Here is a 22,995-nt window from a genome sequence, read left to right on the forward strand (position 1 = left end):
CACAAGCCATGAGGCACAGTCACCAGAAACTATTGGCCGGCTTTGGGGGCTCAGGCCTTGATTCCAGCTCCTGTTCCGCCTCTGACCCACCATGTGGCCACGGGGAGTCCTCCTCACTTTGCTAGGCCCCTTCCTTCCTCTTTATAATATGGGTCGGAGAGTCCATACCTGCCTTCCTCAGAGGGCTGCTGTGAGGGTCAGATGAGGGAATGGACTTGAAGATACCCCAGGTGTTTGTTAAGCACCTACTGTGTGCAGACACAAGGTGAGCAGAATAGTCCTGGTTCACGCTCATGGAGTCATGGTCTGTGGAAGGGAGAGACATTAGTCAGATAAGCCCCCGGGCTGGGCACTGCGGGCAGGCTCAGGGCACACAGCTGTCCAAGCCGAGACAAGCCAGGGACATAGGAAGCCATTTGTGCCCCACTCAGAGGCAGAGTCCTCGGGCAAGGCCCTGGCAAAGGAACTGTGGTGAGGTGTTTGTGCTGAGGTCTTGGGAATCAGCTCTTACCGGTGTCTGAAAACGTAGGTTTTGTCATTGCTGTCCAGGTGTGGTGAGGCTAGCAGATCAGGGCTAATTTCCATTGGAAAGTGTGTTTGTGACTCATAGTTCTCAGGAGGAGAGGGGATGCCACACCCCAAAGGACCACACAGAAAGCACCAGGGCCAGTTGAGAGGCAGAAGGACAGATGGGAAAATGTGGGCAAGAGCCTTTGTTATCACGTCTGCAGGAAGGAGCGGGTGAGGCAGGGTAAGCAGGCTTAGGATTGACTAGTTGGAATAGTTGAAGGGGGTTCTGCAGCATAGGGTTTGTCCCTAGATGTCTTTGCCTGGCCCTGGTGTGATCAGGGCAGGGGGAGAGTGGCTGTTGTGTGTGAGCTGGATGGAAGACGTGGTGGATGTGAGCTCTGGGCTGGTTAGTTTGCAGAGGAAAGGCATGCTCTCGAGGAGTGGTTCACTAACCTAGGAATTGGCCAGTCCTGTCATTGTCAGTCTCCAGGGTCAGCGAAGCCACAGATGTCAAAGCATCAGAATTACATGGTTAATACACCCAGCTCCCAATCTCTGCTCAGCAATTCACAAGCTTTGTGACCAGGAAGTTATTTGGCTTCTCTTTGGTTCAACTTCCTCGTCTATAAAATGGGAGTGATAATCCCTTTCCCCTGGGCTGTTAGCGGTGGCTGATGGAGTGTGGGTGCTAGCAGAGGCTTTTTGCCTGGGTGACTGGGCTTGCTGCGTTCCCCTTTCTGGGATGCTGACTTTACTGGTGAACTGGGAGGCGGAGGCTTAGAAGCAACTAATGCCCCTCTCTTGACTGTTCTGCTGCCTGGGTCCACAGTCCTGGGCCTGCGGGCAGCCTCGACCCCTTCCTTCTGATTGCAAGACTGTGTCCCTTCAAAACCCCACTTCCCCTGGCTTTTGTGCACTGTGTAGCCCTAAAGGGTCCCAGGGAAAACCAGCTCCAAATCTCCAAGCACCTGCTGTGGGCCAGGACGTCCACAGGCACCACCTCTTGTAACTTCATCTCCACAAGACTGCATGGTCAGCGTTTTTTCTCCCCATTCTACAGATGGGGAGACTGTGGCTGAGGGTGAGGTGACTTGCCTATGCTGACTCAGCAATTCGAAGCTGTCGGGGCTGTTGTGTGTACCTGTGCATGTCTTCACCTCACAAGGCACCCAGATGCGAGGGGAGCAGGACTAAAGTCTAGCCCAGACCCTTCAAGCCAGCTGTGTGCTGCGGGCTGCCTGTCAGCCAGGAGGGAGGGCACCTTCAGTGTAGGGGCTTCGGTACTACTAGGGGGTTTAGGCCCAGGTGCACTCTTCTCTCTGCTTCTTTTCTAGGGACAGGAGTGTAGAGGCAGGTACATCCCAGCCTCCTCAGGCGAGGCTTCTCCTTCCTCCTGGCGCTGGAAGGATCTGTCCTGGGGTCCTGGGTGGGCTGGAGACCGGAGTTGCCTCAAGGACACAACCTTAGGCCTGTTTTGGGCCTAAAGGTTCACTTCCACGCAGGGTGTAAGGGAAACACACCCCCCCCACATGTATGCACACACACACACACCACATACACACACACTCCCACGCACACACACACACACCACACAAACGCACACATACACCCCACACACACAGACACCACACACACATACACACACCACACACATATATCACACACACCACACACAGACACCACACACACCCCACACACACACGTACGCACACACCACGCACACACATACACACACACATACACCACACACACACATATACCACACACATACACCACACACAAACAGACCCCCTCACACACACACAGTCACCATACATATACACCACACACACATACACCATACACACATACACATACACATACCACACACACATCTCACACACACACACACCACACACACACCCACACACATACACACATACATACACCACACACACACACAGACCACCCTCACACACATACACCACACACACGCCACACACACATATACCACACACCTACACACACCACACACAGACACCACACACACACCACACACACCACACACACAGACACCACACATATGCACACAGACACCACACACACATACACACACCACACACACCACACACGCACACCACATACACACACACACGCACACCACACACACCACATACACACACACCACACACACACTACACACACACGCACACCACACACACACCACGTACACACACACACACGCACACCACACACACACCACATACACACACACCACACACATGCACACCACACACATGCGCACACACACGCACACCACACACACACCACACACGCACACACACACGCACACCACACACACACACCACACACCACACACACGCGTGTGCACACACACACAGACACAGGTTTCCCTGAGCTTGATTTTCCATGCACCAAGGGCAAGGCTTTCCCCAGCCCCTGCCTGTGGTGACCATGTCCTTGGTGGGACGCTGAGGACGGGTGCGTGTCTGTGTGGGAGGGGAGCGGGGAACAGGTAATTACCCAGGTGTGTGTGATACACAGAGCATGTTTGCTGTGACATCCTCTAGAATGTGACCGGTGTGTGTCCTGGGATGCGGTGTGCATAATGCTGCGTGTGGGGTGTGCTATGTGTGCTGTTTGTGGGTGTGGGTGTCACTGATGACTGGGCGGAGCGCTCATACTGGCAGGTCCCAGGAGCACGTGGCGGGTTGGGATGCACCGTGTGGGCAGCCGGCCCAGGCCCAGGAGCAGTTTCTTCCCCCGGAATCAAGTCATAGCCTCTCCATCCAGCTTATTTCCATTTGCTAGGACCCGTCTGGCGCCAAGATTTTAGGCTAGCGTGATCCCTCAGTTCTGGAGTTTTCCGCAGCCACAGCCTTCATGGGCAAAGGAAGAGGCCAAGAACAATAGCGGCACCTTCCTCTGGGCCCCCAGGAGAGGAAGGCCATCAGGTGGGGAGGGCTCTCTGGATGCGAGCACAGGGCCAGGACTGACCTTCGTGTGTCATTTTCTTATTTAATCCTTTTCACGCCTGTGAGAAAGGGTCACCAAATCAGTCAGGGACCCAGCAGGAAACGGGAGGTTGAAGAGGAGTCCCGGGGCTACCAATTGTACCAAGCTGTTACCTCCCTCTGCCTGGCATGAAACTGGCAAGAGCTGGACAGGAGCTGTGGCCACTGCCACCCCCTAATGACCGTCGAGGAGGGGCCAGGGGAACCAACGCCGCAGCCTCTCTCCTCCCATTCTCCGAGCTCCGTCGGCACTGGCCAGCCCAGCCAGAAGACAGAGGGTGGGGGGCCAGGGTGATGGCTCCTGTGGAGGTCAGGCTCTGGGTTCACAGCAGGTGGGGAAGGGTGGGGAGTGGCTCTGGAGAGGCAAGCAGAGACCTCCCAGAGCAGTTCCCATCCTGGCTTTATGGAGGAGGGCACCATAGTGATATCCACTGCCCAAGGTCACCCATGCGGAGGCTGCAGAGCCAGAATTGAAGCCTGGCTCTGACGGAGGACTCCCACCCACTGGGAGTCGGTGGGCTGGTCGAATACCCTCTCAGCCTCCAGTCAGACCACAGCCCCCACGGGGCCTCTGTCTCAAGACTTTTGGGAGGGGCGAATGAGGTCTTGAAACTGTAGCAGAGGATCTTTGATCTGAGTGGCAAAAATAAATAAATAAATAAATAAATAAATAAATAAATAGTTTTTAATGCAGCTGCCAAGGTGACACAGGTGATTACCAGAATAATAAGGGGATGGGATGGGAAAGCCATGTGCTGGGGAACTCAGCTGGAACCTTGCTTTAAGAGGCCCAGAGAAGTCCTGTGGCTTGCCTCAGGTTCCCACAGCATATCAGGGGCAGAGCCAGGGCCGGTAACTGTCTCCATGTTGCTGAGGAGATCCCAGCCACGGGCTAGGAGGTCTGCTCCAAACATTCTGCCAGAATCATGGGCAGAACCCACTCAGGGTCCCTCGTCTGCTTGGGAGGGGTTCATTGCAGCCTAAGACAGGAAATAATCCAAGTGCCCATCAATAGGGCGGTGGTTAAGTAGGATATAGTCTTATGCTGGAATAAGAGGTAAGTAATGAACAGGTTGAAATGAGTCTATGACTCAGAGAAACCTTCAAGATACAACAAGAGAGAAAGCCAGGCTACTAATCAAGGCCACAGTGAGATGTCACCACATCACACCCACTGGGATGGCCACAGTCCAAGAGAGAATAACAAGTGTTGGTGAGGAAGTGGGAAAGATGGAATCCTCGGACGCTGCTGGTGGGGATGTCAAATGGTACAGCTGCCATGGAAAATGGCCTGGCGGGTCCTCAAGCAGTTAAATAAAGAGATATCATGTGGCCCAGCAATTCACCTCCAGGTACAAACCCAGGAGAAATAAAAATGTGTGTCCACACAAAAACTTGTAGACGAATGTTTATAGCAGCTTTATTCATAATAGCCAAAAGGTGGAAACAACCCAAATATCCATCAACTCAAGAATGATAAACAAAATGTGGTCTATGTTTTCTGGTTTTTTTGGTTCTGTTTTGTTTTGTTTTGTTTATTTAGTTTTTTGGGTTTTGTTTTGTTTTGTTTTTTTTGAGACCGAGTCTCACTCTGTCACCCAGGCTAGATAGGGTGCAGGGGCACGGTCTCAGCTCACTGCAGCCTCTGCCTCCTGGGTTCAAGCGATTCTCCTGCCTCAGCCGCCTGAGTAGCTGGGACTACAGGGACGCGCCACCACACCTGGGTAATTTTTGTATTTTTAGTAGAGACGGGGTTTTACCATGTTGGCCAGGCTGGTCTCGAACTCCTGACCTCAAATGATACGCCTGCCTCGGCCTCCCAAAGTGCTGGCATTACAGGCATGAGACACTTCTCCCGGCTCAAAATGTGGTCTATCTATACAGTGGAATATTATTCAGCCATCAAAAGGCATGAAGTACTGACATGTTACAGCATGGATGAACCTTGGAAACATTATGCAAAGTGAAATAAACCAGACACAAAGGACACACATTGTATGATTCCATTTCTACGAAATGTCTGGAATAGGCAAATCTATAGAGACAGAAAATAAATTAGAGGTTGCCTGGGGCTGTGGAGTATAGAGGAATTAGTGGCTGATGGCCAAAAAGTACAGGTTTCTTTTTGCAGTACTGAAAATGCTCTAAAATTGATTGTGGCGATGGTTACACAACTCTGAATATACTAAAAGCCATTCAACTGTACACTTTAAATGGGTGAATTTTACGGTATGATAATATTTCAATAAGGCTATTTAAAAACCAGGTAATTGAAGGGTAGGTAGAGTATGATTCTAAATATGTAAGGAAAACCACATACATGCAAATGATTGGGTAGGCATTAAATCTCTCTGGAAAGATGTCATCAACAAACTGTCAGCTGGGGATGCTCAAGGAGGGGCATTGAGTGGGAGGCACAGAGGGCCCCCTTTTCACTGTGAAGTACAGTATGTCAAATTTTCACCATGTGTCTTGTTTTTCTAATGGAAATATGCCCTGCATCTGGTCCTTGCTTGGGCTGGCCCAGCCCTCCTTGAGAAGCAGGCCTTGCTCCATGGGGGCTGATGTGTCTGCCTGAGCTCATGGGAGTGGTTCTGTCCAAGAGGGCAGGTCAAAAAGTCCTCCTTCCCAGGCCTGAAATAGATTCCTGTTCAAAACCTAGCAAAGCAACTATTTTTGGCTGCCTGGCCTACCAGAGGCGGGTCCGAGAGCCTGCTAGGGCACCATGCCCAGGCTCCCAGGATGGTCGCCCTAGGGACCATAATCAGTCCACCTCCCTGCCCAGGCTCTAAGCAGGCATTGTACCCTGCACCCATCGGATGAGATTTCAGGGGGCTCCTCTTTTAAGCCCAGTAGCAGGACTGGTCTGTACCCCAAGGGAACAATTCTGGAGCCAGTACATACTAGGTGCTGAGTACTGTGTTAGAGGTGCCAATTATGTTGTGTCTCTCCTAGTTGCCCAGTCAAGGAGGGGCTGTCATCATCATTTTACAGGTGGGGAAACAGGCTCCAAGATCCCACCCCTGGAGATGGGTCTCAAACTCAGGTCGGCTGCTTGACCCTACTACACCACTTGTATCATTCGAGAACCAAGTGACAAAAACCCTAACTAAAGCTGATGAAGATAATAGAGGAGATTCATTGATTTATTGATTCACATAGCTGAGAAGTCAAGAATGGGTGGGCTTCGGGTGAGGCTCGATCAGGACTCCAGCTCCATTTTTCAGTGGTTTTCTCAGCTCTACCCTCCTTTGTGTCTGTGAATTTCATCCTTTTTATTTTTATTTTATTTATTTATTTATTTATTTATTTATTTTTGAGATGGAGTCTTGCTCTGTTGCCCAGGCTGGAGTGCAGTGGCACGATCTCAGCTCACTGCAACCTCTGCCTCCCAGGTTCAAGCAGTTCTCCCTGCCTCAGCTGGGATTATAGGCACCCACCACCACACCCGGCTAATTTTTGTATTTTTTAGTAGAGACATGGTTTTGCCATGTTGGCCAGGCTGGTCTCAAACTCCTGACCTCAGGTGACCCGCCCGCCTCGGTCTCCCAGAGTGCTAGGATTACAGATGTGAGCCACCGCGCCTGGCCGAGCTTCATCCTTAAGATGATTTCTCTTAAAGTAGCCAGATGGCTTCTAACATGTCAGGGGGATCCTCATGCATCCTCAGCATATCCAGAGAGACAGCAAGAGTGTCCTGCCCCAGCATCCTGACCATCCTGCCAAGACTCTGAGATTCACTGTGATTGAATGGGTTTAGGCCACTCCTGCCCTTGAACAAAGTCCTGTAGCCAGGGCACAGGCCTGAAGGCAATAGGATCCAGCCCAGAGCTGGGTGGAAGCTCAGCCTTCCATGGAATATAGGGAATTTGGGGGAGCAGATGGGTTGCTGAATAAAAACTAGGAAGGGGAGAAAGTGCAGGTATGTTGTGCAGGCAGTCATTCAGACCCCCAACCTCCTCTTCTTAGTGAACTACATTAAGACATCATTCTGGGAATATTGCACTGAATACAATTATTTCCCAGTTTCTCATGTGTAAAATGGACGTGCAATTGGACCAGGCCTTTAAATCTAGGATGATTATTCATTTTTAATCAGTCACACTTTGGCTTGGGACACCATAAGAGTAGCTGGATTGGTTGATACCATCAGAATGCTTGCCTTTGTTCCCCAGACCCTAGCCTGACCCCACTGTGACCCCCTCCAGTCCCTGCTTGAGCTCCTCCTGTTACAACTTTGCCCCCATAAGAAGCAATCCAAGCCCTCTGTCCAGGCATCGTGATCTTTGGAGCTCTGCCTCCTGCCTGCTGTCCCAGCTACTGTCGCCAAAAAAGGAAGAATGGGTCCAGCCTGGACCTTGGGCTCATCTCAGGTCCCCAGTGGAGTCAGCATCCCCAAAACCACAGAGATCCCTCAACAGAAACAGGAACTGTCGGGAGAGGGACCCAGGACATGGTCACTTAAGGCCAAGTGTCAAATACCCACTCTACCCTATCCCAAGGCCCCCTGGTTGTGTTCCCTCGGGCAAGTCCCTTCACTCTCTGAGCCTCCATTTCTCCGTCTGTGAAATGGGAGCATTGATAACTGTCGCCCCGTGGGATAGCAGCAGGAGGTCTGTGTTCAGCAGACATCTTCCCCTCCTTGTCCTGCCAGAGTGGCGGGGCTGACGTGGCAACGGTTGCCTCACCCTCCTGTACTTCCCTCCCCTCCTCCCTTCTCCCTCTAGGCTTCCTTAGACGCCCCTCATCCTGGTGACCCCTTGCATGTGCCCAGTGTCCCTCCAGGCCCCCTCGGCCCACATGGAGGGCACTTTCCCAGCCCAGGCGACTCCGGGACAAATGGATTTTGGAAAGAGCCTAGCCCTGCCTCCTGCCAGTGCCTTGGAGAAGACAAAGAAACAGGGGTCAGGGAGGGGACAGGGAGGGGGCAGGCAAGCCCTGTCCCAGCAGCCTTGGGGCCCCTGGCCGGGCAGGGTTTCCGTGAGCGGTTCTCCATTGCTCCCAAAAATAACCAAGTGTGTATCTCGTCGGCCTCACGCCGCAGATGTTTAGGATAAACCTTCGTAAATCTCTGTTAGAAAAATGCTGAAAATCAGAGGAACGTGGCAATGGCCACAGACTCACAATTTCTCTCTCTCATCTCTGTTTCTAACTCCATCTCTCTTCTCTCTCCATCTCTGTCTCTCTGTGTTCTTTCTCTCTTGTTCTCTGAGTGTCGCCTTCTCTGTCTGTCTCACTATCCCTTTCATTTCTTCCTTTCCTCAGCTCTTTCCCCCGTTATTAAGCCATGAGAGAGGCCTCAGCCTACCAGACGCCCACGGAGCACATATTTTAATGCGCCTTCACAGTCTTCCAGAAAAACAGATGCAACATCTACGACATTCTTCCTGCTCGCTGCAACAGCAATTAAAGAGAGGATTGGGTGAGGGGGGAGGCCTGGGGAGAGGATGCGGGGAGAGGAGAAAAGAAAAGCTCCTTGTCGGGGCTGCTTCTCAACAAAGGGAGTCGACGGTGCACGGGGCTGCTTGTGTGACCGTCTAGCACTATGACATCTTTCTCCCGGAACGTCAGCTTGGGGAGGGTGGCTGGGCTGATGGTGGCTCGGTCAGCAAAGCCTGGCATTGGAGAGGCAGTCAGGGTAACCAGGGCCCAGGCTGGGGCTTTCTTTGCCAACATGATGTTGGGAGAGAGCACAGGATTCTGAGCCCTGCGTTCGGAGCCAGGCTACTTGGGCCTATTGGAACCCAGGCAGCTTCAACCCATTCACTCCCTCACTCATTTGTTCATTCGACAAGCATGTGCAAAATCTACAGCTGTGTGGCAGGACCACGGGGTAAATCATTACAGCACAATACGAGGGCGAGTGTGAACAAGGGTCACCTGGTGGTCCCAGTGGCCCTTCCAGGGGAGATGGCTCAAGTCTGAAGGGTGAGAAAGGCTTAGGTGAACGGGGTGGGATGGGCAGGAGTCTCCATGAGGAACTGAACTCCCACAGAGAGCACTGCAATTTACAAATGAGAAAACCAAGGATGCCCAAGAAGCTGAGAACCCAATGAGTTTGCACAGGATGGCAGAAGACCTTCAAGAAGGTATGGAAGGTTGTCCAGACCCCAGCATCATCCGTGCTGCCATCAACCAGAGCTCAGCCTCAGACGCCAACAGGGGAAGACAGAGGCCATAAGTAAGTGAGGCTCACCAGCCAGGGACCAGCACAGAACTCAAGGATGTATGCCCGTCAATGAGGGTACCAAAGATTGCCATGTGTGACTGATTGCCCAAGTTTTCATGAGAAGATCAGATATGCAGACTTTTTTAAAAAAAGGTGAAATATTATTTTCAAATGATGGTGACTTAGTTACTCTTTAAAATATTGATGGGCCAAGCTAAATCCATCGGCAGGGCATGTGGGGTCCTCGGCTGCTGTTTGTTAACCTTTGGTTCATTCTGAAGTACCACGTGACAGCAGGCTCCACCTAAGCCCAGCATTTAGTAAGAGGCAGGCCTGATCTTCGTGGTCCCTCCAGAAGCCTTGTTTCCAGAGGGCATGTCAGTACCCACTTGAGCAAACTCAGGCCCCAGCACCCTGGCAAAGTCGATAGGCCTTGCCTTCTGCTTTCAGCCTTGGGCTTGAATCCTAACCCTGATGCTAAATAGTTGTGAAATCCTGAGCAAGTCCCGTATTTCTTTATCCTTCACCTGATTCCAAAGAGTGTTTAAGGTTCTTCTATGAACACATTAGCAATGCAAAATGTGGCCAGGTGCAGTCACTCAGGCCTGTAATCCCAGCACTTTGGCAGGTGGATTGCTTGAGCTCAGGAGTTCGAGATCATCCTGGGCAACATGGCGAGAACTCATCTCTACAAAAAATGCAAAAATACCAAAAAAAAATTATCCAGGCATGATGGTGCACACCTGTAGACCCAGCTACTAGGGAGGCTGAGGTGGGAGAATCACTTGAGCCTGGGAAGTCGAAGCTGCAGTGAGCTGTGATTGAGCCACTGCACTCCAGCCTGGGTGACAGAGAGTGAGACCCTGTCTCAAAAAAGGAAAAAAAAAAGGGAAAATGTTATATAGATAAATAGAATCAAGCAGGAGGTCAGAATCTTTGGAAAATAAGAGACACCAAGTAATGGAAACAAAGGTAAAGTTTGTCTACAGAGCACAGGTTCTAATGACCCTGTACCACGACTAGAGTTGGACCTAAAACATTACCTTGGGATTCCCAGCAGCCAAAGCAAAGAAGGAATCATGTTTTTGTGATTTATTGTCCTTGAAAATAAAAACATACCAGTTGATCAGAGAAGCAGTTTTCCTGGTATTGGGCTTGAGATAAAATTACTTAATGGCTCTCCCTAAAAAGACATTTGTGTGATATAATAAATAATAATTCTATGTGCTAGTAAAAAAATTTCAATTTCCTATAGCTATTTCTTTAATGTCCTTCTATACAGGCTGATGATGTAATATCAAAACAGATCAAGTAACAATGGAGTGAGACTGAAGAATGCAGTTCTCCATTGCTTTAGTGGACAAGTTACTTCATGCCTCTGAATTGTATTTTTTTTCTTTATAAAATAGACCAAATATAATGCCTATATCTTAGGATTGCTGAGAAGCTCAAGTGGAATAAGGTAAATAAAATGCCTGTGATGATTTCTGGCATGTAGTAGATCTCATGGGATTCATCAGTGAGATTGCTGTAACAAACAACCCCTACATCCCTTAACATAATAACATTTTATGTATTGCTCACATCGTCCTCTAGTGTAGATTATCGGGGCACAGAGGGCAGGTGTGTGTATAGGTGCTGTGTTGAATCCATGCAGTCATTCAGGGATCCAGGCTTCTTCTATATGTGGTTCTGCCCTCCTCTAGAATGTCAAAGTCTTCTCCAGTCAGCAGGTGATGGAGAAAAAAGTTAAAATTGGGTATGAGAAGTTTCTATGGGCCAAGACTAGAAGTGACACACTTTCACCCACAACCCATAACTTCTGCCCATAAGCCACTGGCCAGAAATAAGTTCCTTGCCACAATTAATGGAAAGGCGGGCTGGCAAAGGTGGTCTGTGTGCTGCATGTCTGGGAAGAGGAGGATGACATGGCTGTTGGTGAGGGAGCCTGTTAGTCAGTGGAATCTCTGCCACTATCAGGAATCAAAATGAAGCTGGATTCCTCATGTTGGCCAGCAGTGAGGCAGCTCTGGGACCATCAGATTTCCCCCGGCTGTCCACCCCTTCTTCCAGACATCCTCACTGCTTTCTTTGGTCTTGAAGCACAGGAAATTTGAGCAATGGTCATTGGCCTTTCCCACATGCAGTTGTTTTTAGTTTTATGGACATGAGAGAGCAGAGACCTCCTGGGTCAGCTATTTCCTCTCCTGTTGCCGAGGCAGGGAGCTTCTTTGAGTTCACTGGCCTTTTGCCCTTTTCATCTACTTGTCTGCTCAGCATGGAATGTGCTGCTAAACAGTGGGGCTAAGGCGGAGGGGGTTGAAAAGTGCCTCAGAGGTGGTTCCTACTGTCCAGGGACTCACACTTTCACTAAGGAGGCACAGGTAGCCACATAAGCAGAACATTCTCATACAAAATACCCAATCTCTTACCAAAATGATTAAAGGCAGTTTTCAAGGGCACATAAGTTAGAGCAAGCTACACATGTAAATAGTAGAATAAGAGAAGGAACAAATGATAGAGCTGGGACATAAATGAAGCCATGAATAAACCCATTCACACAAAAAACCCTGATTACCTAGATATTTGCTGTGGTTGGGCCATGGAATCAATGTTGAGCTTCCTAGCAGCCAGCATGAAAATGGAAATTTGGTCAGTTATATAAATCACAACGATCATGCCATTTGAACAAACCAGTTACCCAAGAGAATAGTAATAATAGCTAGCATCTAGTCGGTGTTTACTATTCCTTATATACCTACACAAGGCAGAGACTATTATTATCCCCACTTAATGGGGAAAGAAAAGTTTACAACTGCCCACAGTCATACAACTGGTGGGACAAGGATTGGGTAATACAGATTGTTTAAATTCAGAGCTGGGCTCTAACTCATCTCCTAGTTCTAAGACAAGAATCTCACCAATGTTCTCACAGTGTGGACACTGTGTAATAACCAATATTCTTGCAGTGGCCGTAGCAGAGGTTTCATGTTCTCATCCTGTCTCACCAGATATTTGTGCTTTCCTGCCAAAGGACGTTTCAGGTTTTCAGCTGTAGTCCCTGTGGTGAGTCCTTTCTTCTGGCAGGCTCTCATCTGGCTGCCCCCAGGGGTGGATTGGAGCATATCTGGAAAGGAAGATGGACAACTTGTCTTTGACGCACACAATCCTTGCTCAATACCATTTCTCTCAGCTGAGTTTTGACTAAATATTGCTTCATTCATTCAACAAATTCATCTTGAGGATACACACTGCCAGGCATGCCTCAGAGCTCTGGCCCCACCGCCATGAACACAGCAGACAGAATCCCCATCCTCAAGAAGCTTATAGTCTTACAGAAGAGAGAGGCATTAAGTGAGTAAAAATGCAAAGAAAATACATCTTTACATGTTATGATAAGTCTATAAAGGAAGCATAACGAAGTGGGAATAATTTCGTTTGGGTTGGAGTGCTGCAAGTCCCTCTGGAGGAAATACCATTTATTCTGGAAACTAAATAAGGGCAAAGAGATGAGATAAAAGCCTTCCAGGCCAAGGGAAGAGCATGGAGAAAGGCCAAGTAGAGAAATAGCTTAGAGGGTTCAAGGAGCTGCAAGTCAACTGAGTTGCTGGAATATGGTAGATGGGTGGTTAACAGGTGAAATCAGAGAGATGAGCAGGAGCAAGAGCGTGACAGTCAGGGGGATGGAGGGTTTTGTTTTGTTTTTTAATTTGCTTGAAATTAGACTTCCTGGTAAGTGCATGGATTTCAGTAATTCCGTATTGTACAGCTAAGGATAAGATGAGTAATCAATTTGTTGGAAGGATGAGTGGATGGATGGATGGATGGATGGATGGATGGATGGATGGATGGGTGGATGGATGGATGGATAGCAGGCAGGTTGTGTGCTGGGACACTCATGAAACCATCTCAGGGAGGGAAGATTGACTGGGGAGGGACAGGAGGCAGGAGCCCCATCAGGACACTTTTGTCCCAACCCCTGCAAAGTCAAAAAAGACCTGATAGAGGAAGCTCCTGGAAGAAGACTTTAGATCTGTTCTCAGAAAAGTTGTTGTGTTTGGTCAAATGAAGGCACTGGGGCCAAAGAATCCAAAAGGGGTCCAGTTCATCCCAGAGGAGACTGGCTTTGGAGCTGGATGTGCAAGGTCCGTGGTGACCTGCCTGGTCCAGAGCAGAGGGGCTAGAGGAAGCTTGAAGGATTGTATGTGATATTACTACTTCCCATTCCTACATTTTACAAAGCACTCTGACAGTGTGATAATGATGATGATGATTGTCACCTACTGCCCACCTACTATGTGCTAGGCCCTGTGCTAAGCACTTAAAATGCTTTGGCTCATTTAATTCTTACCACAGTCTTGCATGGGCCATACTATCCCAACCCCACCTTGCCCCCCTTTTGCGGATGAGGGCACAGAGGCTCAAAGAGGTGAAATAACTTGTCCAACATCACACAGCTGCTGAGTTCAGTTAGACCTTCCACCTCTCCAGGTCTCCTTTATTTGTAAAGCACTTTGGATATTTTGTGCTGCCCAACTCGGCCTTGCCTAAGCGCAGGTCTGAGTTGGTGTCATTTCCTACAGCATGCTAAGTGTATGGTGTGGCATTTCCAGGTGTTCTTGCTGGAGATAAATGTAGGAGGGGGTGATGTCATAGGGGGTGAGGTAATCATGACAATATGGGATTGAGCGATGCCTCAAGGTGCCTTCTGGGAAAAGCTTTGATGCTGTTTGGTGGAGGAATGGATCTCCTATTTGATCTCATTAATGAGCAAAGCAATGCATCAAAGCCATGATTCCAAAGTTGCTTTCTGGACACCTATAATCCCCAAGGGCTTCATGAAATGTCCCTAAAGTTGCCCAACTAACACTTCATTTGACCATAAGTTTATAAACAGTTATTCACTAAAAACGATGCACATGAAAATAGCAAGGAGCTACTAGTATTCCATCGATCAGATGGGCAAGATTTAAAGCCCTGATAATAGCCATTGTTGGAGGGGTGGGGAGGGATGAACAGGCATCTCTCGCACTGCACGAGGCTGGTGGAGCACATACTGATAACGTCTTTCTGGAGAGTAAGGGGGTATTGCGCATCAAAAGCCTTGGGGTTGTGCATATGTTTCGACACAGCCCTTTCACCCTGGGGAGTTTATTAAGGAAATAATTAGGGACACAGTTATGAAGAGAGTCATTGGTGAGGTTTTGGTGTGCCAGAGCCAGCTCACACAGGCTCTCAAGGACTGTGCTGCTCTCTCGGTGACATGTTGGCAGCTTCAGTGATATTGGTAGCTTGAAATCGGTCATGGTGGGAATATTCACACTAAGACAATTTTTTTGCAAACACTGCAAACCAGGGTTCTTCCCCCGAGAGAGCCTAGCATGTCCCAGTTTAACAACCCTGGGTGGTTGTGAAAATGTATAATTGGTGGCCGGGCGTGGTGGCTCACACCTGTAATCCCAGCACTTTGGGAGACCGAGGCGGGCAGAACATGAGGTCAGGAGATCAAGACCATCCTGGCTACCATGGTGAAACCCCGTCTCTCTACTAAAAATACAAAAAATTAGCCGGGAATGGTGGCGGGCACCTGTAGTCCCAGCTACTCAGGAGGCTGAGGCAGGAGAATGGTGTGAACCCGGGAGGCGGAGCTTGCAGTGAGCCGAGATCGCGCCACTGCACTCCAGCCTGGGCGACAGAGCGAGACTCCGTCTCAAAAAAAAAAAAAAAAAGAAAAGAAAAGAAAAGAAAATGTATAATTGGTAACAACCAAAACGTCCCACAGTTGGAAATTGGCTCAATAGACGAAGGTGCATCCATCCCATAGAATACTGTGTGGCCATTAAAAATCAGACTGGGGAGGAGTGTTTCTTGGTTGACACGAGAAATATTCCTGAGGGCCACTAAGTGAAGACAGCATTTGCAGAACCATAGGCACATTTTGATACCAAGCACACATATATGCCTGCACACTCACGCGCGCACACACACACACACACTTGTACATGCATAGATTCTCTAGAAGTCTCTACAAGCATGCGTTAGCATCAGTTATTGCTAGGGAAGGAAAAGAGGAGAACTCAGGCAGGAACAAAATATATAAGCTTACTTTTTACTATAAATTCTTTTTACCGTAAAGGCTTTCTTACAAGCATGCTATCTGTAAACCTTTTTAAAATTACCTTTATTAAAACATACCTCTGCTCCTTACTAACTCCGGCACAGAAAACAGGACTGGAAGCATAAACACTAAAATATGAGCAGGGGCTTATCTCTGAGACTACCAGTGACTTTTAAAGTTTTATTTATTTATTTATTGTCTTCGGATTTCATTTCCTTCATGCTTTTCTGGGTTTTCTCCATGTCAGTAAAACATTATGTTTAATAAAAACAACGATCCAATTAACATGCCAAGTCCTTTTTTTGAGAGGGACAGGGTGTGTTGGAAGACTGAGGGTCACAGCTCTGACGGGTCAGCAGCATCCATTGGGAACTAAATAACACTTGACCGTGGAAACAGCTTCCCAGCCCCTGGAGTTCCAAGGGGACGCCTGTAAGACGGTTGAGTTCAAATAAAGGCTAGTGCTGCTTGGGCCCATGATTGCAGGTTTCCTGGGACAGATTTGAGGTGAGGGAATATAGTGACCAGCCTCCTGTGCTTGGGGAGAAAGGATGGGTTTGGGGTGAGAGTGGGAAGATAGATACCAGGTGGGAGGGGCAGGCTTGAGAAGACCTGGGCGTCCCTTGGGGAGAACTGGAGATTTGCAAACCTTGGGGGTGAGCAGGCAGGATGGCTTTGTGACTAAATGTGCATGCATTCATTCAGTAATTGATTGATTCATTCATTCATTCTACAGATAGTTCCTAGGTACCTCCTCTGGGGCAGACCTGGGTTAGAGCTGACATAAGTTATTGTAACTAATCCTCGTAGTCATACCGAGAACTCTGATTCCTATTTAAAAGTTGAGGGCTGAGCGCCATGGTTTGTCTGTAATCCCAGCACTTTGGAGGTAGAGGCAGGAGGATCATATTGAGCCCAGGAGCTTGAGACCAGCCTGAGAAACATGGCAAAACCCCATCTCTACAAAAAAATAAAATAAAATAAAATAAAATTTAGCCAGGCATGGTGGCATGTGCCTGTAGTTCCAGCTACTAGGTGGGGGCTGAGGTGGGAGGATCACTTGCGACTGGGAAGTCGAGGCTGCAGTGAGCTGTGATTGCACCACTGCACTCCAGCCTGGGCCACAGAGTGAGACTCTTTCTCTAACAACAAGAAACAGTTGAGGAAACTGATGCCCAGGGAGATGAGGTCACTTGCCCAGGTCTGTCTGTAGATGCAGGTTCTCTTTTGCTGAAAGGACATGCCTTCCTTTTAGACTGGAGGGACTCTTGCAGGATGGTCAAGGCTAGTGACAATCATCAGACTTTGGCAATTCATTTTTTCATCCCTTCCTTATTTTCTCTTTGGTAGCAAACATGGTAGCATCTCAGTGGAAGAAGGGATCTTTTTGACCAAGACCTCAACCCAAGCACTCAAAAGGGCCTTCTAGATCTGCTCACTCAGCACACAGATGAATGAGGAGGCTCAGGGAGACAGACCTCCTTCCCCTCGCTTCACACCACAGCCGTGCAGGGCTTAGAGGAGCTGTGGGCATGGGCGGCTACCCCACAGCCCCTCCGCTGCCCTTGCCTCTGCTTGTTATCTGCACTTGGCAGCCCCACCCTAATTGCTGAGGCCAGCAAGGCCCCACCCCTGACCCCTGGAACACCAAGGTCCAGGAGACGGGGCAAGCAGGCAGGACTGCTGACGTGGGTGCCAGAGCCCCCAGAGCCTTGTCCTGTCTCAGCTTGGCCTTCAGTCCCAGCCCACCCTGCAGCTGATGAGTGTGACCTCAGGGCTGGAACCATGAGCCCGAGCTCCTGGCCCTCCTTCTCAGCCACTCTGGTTCGGACTAGCACTCTGCCCAGAGGCAGTAGTTGTATTAGAGAGAAGGAACTTTGGGTCAACCAAGCCTGGTGCTAATTCTGGCTCTATCGCTTAGTAGCTATGCCACCTTTACCTCTCTGTGTCTCATATTTCGAAAGGTCTTGGACCCTGAAAAAGGCAATAAGAGTGTGGGGGTTAGTGTCATTCATTAATAACAGCTAATGCAGGACTTCTGCTTCCGACCACAATGGAATAACACAGTCTGCACTTACCCTCCCATCTGAAACAACCAAAAGCCAGACAAAATATACAAAAGAATGGTTTTCAAGACACTGGTCATAGGGCAACAAAGAAGAGCAATCCTAGAACATCAGGAAACAAATGAGGCCAAGCTTACTTACTGGCTGGAGAGAGTTTCTAGGCCATAGCATAGAGTACAACGGAGACCCCAACAGTCTCTCTGATTGAAGAGATGGAGCTGAGAGTCCAAGGAGGTTGAAGCTGCTAGAATTCACACAACAGAGTTTTGGACAGAAGACAGCTCATGGAGAGAGAGACCTCCAGGGAAAGTTGGAGGGTCTCCCCTGAGTATTCAGCTGAGCATTGACCAGTGCATGCACGTGAAGAAACTATCTGAGCCTGGGAAAGAGCCACCCAAGTGACTTAGATGGAACAGCGCCTGGTGCTCGCACAGGGCCAGGACCAGCACCTGTTCTCTCCAGCCAGACTGGAAAGCCTCATGATTGACAGAGCATTAGATAGGATACTACTGAAAGTCTTACCTCAGCTGCCGAGAATAGTTGGCCCTGCACTAAACTCTGCTCAGATCCAGCCTATTAAATTTTAAAAGCAAGACTTGAAAGGATTAAACTGTTTCTAAGTAACTTAACTTTGTCCCAGAACACAGGAATACAAAAATATCCAGTTCCCAACAAGGTAAGATTCACAATGTCTGGCATCTAACAGAAAAAAAAAAAAAAAGAAGAAGAAAAGAAAAAAATGACCAGACATGCAAAGAGGCAGGAAAATATAACTATAATGAGGAGAAAAATCAATCAATAAAAGCTGACCCAGAACTGACACAGATATTAGAATTAGCACACAATGACGTTAAAACATTTATTGTAACTGTGTTTCGTATGTTTGAAAAGTTAATTAGAGACATGAAAGATATAAAATAAACTTCTAGACCCCATACTCAATGGTGAAAAGTTGAAAGCTTTTCCTCTAAGATCTGGAACAAGACAAGGATGCCCACTCTCACTTCTTCTATTCAACGTAGTACTGGAAGTTCTAGCTAGAGTAATTAGGCAAGGGAAAGAAAGAAAAGGCATCCAAATCAAAAAGAAAGAAGTAAAACTATCTCTGGTTGCAGATGACAAATCTTGATGGGGGCACAGAGGCTTCACAAAGAAAATCCTAGAGACTCCACTAAAAAATCTATTAGAATAAATGAATTCAGTAAAGTTACAGGATACAAAATCAACATACAAAAATCAGTAGTGTTTCCATATGCTAACAATAAGCTATCTGAAAAAGAAATCAAGAAAACAATCCCATTGACAATAGCTACAAAAAGAAATAAAATACTTAGTAGTAAATCTAACCAAGGAGGTGAAAGCCCTGTACACTGAAAACTATAAAACATTGATGAAAGAAACTGAAAGTTACATGAATAAATGGAAAGATATCTCATGTTCATACATGGGAAGAATTAATATTGTTAAAATGTCCATACTACCCAATGTGATTGACAGATTCAATGCAATCTCTATCAAAATTCCAATTACATTTTTCGCAAATATAGAAAAACAGTTCTAAAATTCATATGGGACCACAAAAGACCCAAAAGAGCCAAAGCAATCTTGAGCAAGAACAAAGCTGGAGGCATCACACTATTTTACTTCAAAATATACTACAAAGCTATATTAATCAAAACAGCATGGTACTGGCATAAAAACAGACACATAGATCAATGGAACAGAATAGAGAGTCCATAAATAAACCTACACTTTTGTGTTTTTTTTTTTGAGATGGAGTCTCACTCTGTCACCCAGACTGGAGTGCAGTAGAGCAATCCCAGCTCACTGCCACCTCTGCCTCCCAGGTTCAAGTGATTCTTGTGCCTCAGCCTCCCAAGTAGCTGGTTACAAATGTGTGCACCACACCTGGCTAATTTTTGTATTTTTAGTAGAGATGGGGTTTCACCATGCTGGCCAGGCTGGTCTCCAAATCCTGACCTCAATTGATCCCCCTGCCTCAGCTTCCCAAAGTGCTGGGATTACCGGCATGAGCCACCATGCCTGGCCCCTAAACCTCCACTTTTACAGACAATTGGTTTTCAACAAAGATGCCAAGAACACACAATGAAGAAAGACCGTTTCTTTAATAAATGATATTGGGAAAACTGGATATCCACATGCAGAAGAATAAAATTAGACCCTCATCTCACGCCATGTACAAAAATCAACTCAAAATGAATTAAATGTAACACCTAAAACTATTAAACTAATAGAAGAAAACATAGGGGGAAAGCTCCACAACATTGGTCTGGGCAGTGATATTTTCAATATAATCTCAAAAGCATAGACAACAGAAACAAAAATAGACGTGGGATTACATCAAACCAAAAAGCTTCTGCACACCAAAGAAAACAATCCACAGACTGAACAGATAACCTACAGGACAGAATGAAGTGAGTATGTTAAGAGATATCTGCACTGCCATATTCATTGCAGCATGATTCAAAATACTCAAGCTATGGAATCAACCTAAGTGTCCATCCATCGATGAATGGATAAAGAAAATGTGGTGTACATACACAATGGAATACTATTTATCATTTTAAAAAAAAGGAAATCCTATCATTTTCGACAACATAGATGGACCTGGAAGACATTATGATAAGTGAAATATGCCAGGCACAGGAGGACAAATACCACATACTCTCACTTATATGTGAAATCTAAAAAGGCCAAACTCATAGAAGCAGAAAATGGTTAGCAGAGGCTGAGGGATGGAGGAAGTGGGGAGATGTGGGTCAAAGGACACAAAATTTCAGTTCAACAGGAAGTATAAGTTCAAGAGAGCTTCTGTATGTCATGTGACTATAGTTAATAACAATATATCGTATGCTTGAAAATAGCTGAGTCTATTTTAAGTGTTTTCAGCACAAAAAATAAGTATGTGAGGTAATTCATATATTAATTAGCTTGATTTAGCCATTCTACAATGTATACATATATGAAAACATCATGTTTTACGTCATAAATCATACAATTGTATTTGTCAATTAAAAATTAAAAAATAAATTTCGTAACCAAAAAAATCCCAAACTTCTAGAAATGAAAACTTCCTGTGTGAGAAAGTACATTGGATGGGATTAATGGTACAAGAAAATATTAGTGAACTTGAAGACATAGCAATAGAAATGATCCAAAAGAGGCCGGGCGTGGTGGCTCACACCTGTAATCCCAGCACTTTGGGGGGTAGGTGGATCACTTGAGGTCAAGAGTTCGAGACCAGCCTGGCCAACATGGTGAAATGCCCATCTCTACTAAAAATACAAAAAATTAGCCAGGCATGGTGGCGGGCGCCTGTAGCATCCGTTACTCGGGAGGCTGAGGCAGGAGAATCGCTTGAACCCGGAAGGTGGAGGTTGCAGTGAGCTGAGATTGAGCCACTGCACTCCAGCCTGGGCAACAGGGCAAGACTCTGTCTCAAAAAAAAAAAAGCAAAAGAAATTATCCAAAACGAAACACAAAGATAATTTTTTTAACAAATGAATGGCACATCAGTGAGCTATGAGACAACTTCAAGCAGCTTAATATATGTGTAATTAGAGGAGTGAAGGACAGAAGAAACATCTGAAGAAAGAATAGCTGACATTGTTTAAACCCAGATCTAATAGTGAACGTTCATAGTTGTTTACTACACACCAGATGCTAATCTAAGCACTTACACATATTAACTCATCCACTTACAATTCTTACAAAAGCCCTGAAATGCTTGATCTATCCCCATTTTAAAATGAAGAAAGTGTTAACCTCTCGCCCGAGGCCTGACAGCTAGTGAGTGAGTGAGCCAGGAATGGAATCTCAGAACTTCAAACCTTGTCTCTGTCGTTTGTGAATGCTTTCCACATTAGCAAGCCACATCTGTCCACCATTTTTAGTGGCTGTGTAGTATTCCATCGCTGGGGTTTATTTAACAAATCCCCTGTGGTTGAAATGTGGTTTCCAGTTTTTCACTATCATGAAGAATGCTGCCCAGGATAGCCTTAGAGCTGAGATGTTGATGCCCAGGTATATTCCTTGCCTCAGTTTCTAATAGTGGAGCAACTGGAGTCAAAAGGGCTCTTACTACCTATTGTCAAATTGTCCATGGAAAGTTTCTACAGCCCCCAGAAGCCCCACCACTGACTTTCTGTGCTGCTTTGGACAAGTGACTTAACTTCCCTGAGCCTCAATGTCTTCATCTATAAAAGGAGAATACTATTCCCTACCTCTTGGGCTGTTAGGAGGATTCAGTGAGATACCGGGGTCAAGTGACTGTCACAGCACGCTGTGTGGCACGCAGTGGGTGCTCCCTTTGTATGACATCAGCGCTGAAGGAGGAGGCGGTCAGTGGAGCTTCCTGCGGAGCTGATTTGCGCTGGGGGCGTGGGAGGAACGCAGAGGGGCGCATTCCAGCCTGAGGCCACCCCCGTGAGTCTCCCTGAGAGACCCAGGGCTGCTCTGAGCGGCTCCAGCTGGAGCTCTCCCTATCCTGATCCACCCGCTGACTCACAGTCTCACCCAAGCCCTGGAAAAACAGGGCTTCGCTGTTTTCTTTCTGCGCCCCTTTCCCCGATTCTATCAGCTTCTTTCAGGTAGAGGAGGTTTACGCTTCATAGGTATAACACAAAATCCCCCCCTGCACACACCCACACACGCCCGTGTGTCTCCCCACCCCTATTTTATTCCCCTAGGGACCCACACTGGCTATTTTTCCACAGAGACCTCCTAGGGACACAATTAATGCCAGGAGTGCCCCTCACGTTGGGACTGCAGGCCCAGGGGAGCTCGGCTGCCTCCCTGTATCTCCAGCTGCACAAGCTGGCCCTGGGCCCCTGGTCATTCCCGTTGTGCCTTCCTCACAGTTCCACCGATTGGACCCAAACAGAATTTCCTAACTCAGCCAGGCGTGGTGGCTCACGCTTATAATCCCAGCACTTTGGGAGGCCGAGGCAGGAGGAACCTCTGAGGTCAGGAGTTTGAGACCAGCCTGGCCAACATGGTGAAACCCCGTCTCTACTAAAAATACAAAAATTAGCCAGGCGTGGTGGTGGATCCCTATAATCCCAGCTACTCAGGAAGCTGAGGCAGGAGAATTGCTTG

The 22,995-nt window shown here is 47.6% G+C and overlaps 1 long non-coding RNA gene across 1 annotated transcript, besides 4 other annotated features; it reads right to left on the reverse strand.

Moving 5' to 3' along the window:
* Positions 860 to 1,359: an enhancer, noted in NCBI's record as "H3K27ac hESC enhancer chr5:172022507-172023006 (GRCh37/hg19 assembly coordinates)". NCBI's record gives its function as "activates a minimal SCP1, AML or CMV promoter by ChIP-STARR-seq in primed H9 embryonic stem cells {active_cell/tissue: H9 hESC(primed)}" and the evidence as "EXISTENCE:reporter gene assay evidence [ECO:0000049][PMID:30033119]".
* Positions 2,299 to 3,221: an enhancer, noted in NCBI's record as "H3K4me1 hESC enhancer chr5:172023946-172024868 (GRCh37/hg19 assembly coordinates)". NCBI's record gives its function as "activates a minimal SCP1, AML or CMV promoter by ChIP-STARR-seq in naive and primed H9 embryonic stem cells {active_cell/tissue: H9 hESC(naive and primed)}" and the evidence as "EXISTENCE:reporter gene assay evidence [ECO:0000049][PMID:30033119]".
* Positions 7,863 to 8,441: an enhancer, noted in NCBI's record as "H3K4me1 hESC enhancer chr5:172029510-172030088 (GRCh37/hg19 assembly coordinates)". NCBI's record gives its function as "activates a minimal SCP1, AML or CMV promoter by ChIP-STARR-seq in naive H9 embryonic stem cells {active_cell/tissue: H9 hESC(naive)}" and the evidence as "EXISTENCE:reporter gene assay evidence [ECO:0000049][PMID:30033119]".
* Positions 11,272 to 22,198, reverse strand: LOC105377729 (uncharacterized). The gene is made up of 3 exons (XR_941229.2): positions 22,122 to 22,198; positions 12,615 to 12,820; positions 11,272 to 11,410 (listed from the first exon to the last, which is right to left on the reverse strand). It is a non-coding gene; the product is annotated as an uncharacterized LOC105377729 (long non-coding RNA).
* Positions 21,977 to 22,893: an enhancer, noted in NCBI's record as "H3K4me1 hESC enhancer chr5:172043624-172044540 (GRCh37/hg19 assembly coordinates)". NCBI's record gives its function as "activates a minimal SCP1, AML or CMV promoter by ChIP-STARR-seq in primed H9 embryonic stem cells {active_cell/tissue: H9 hESC(primed)}" and the evidence as "EXISTENCE:reporter gene assay evidence [ECO:0000049][PMID:30033119]".

The sequence above is a fragment of the Homo sapiens genome, chromosome 5 (assembly GCF_000001405.40).
Source record: "Homo sapiens chromosome 5, GRCh38.p14 Primary Assembly".
NCBI classification, from domain to species: Eukaryota; Metazoa; Chordata; class Mammalia; order Primates; family Hominidae; genus Homo; species Homo sapiens.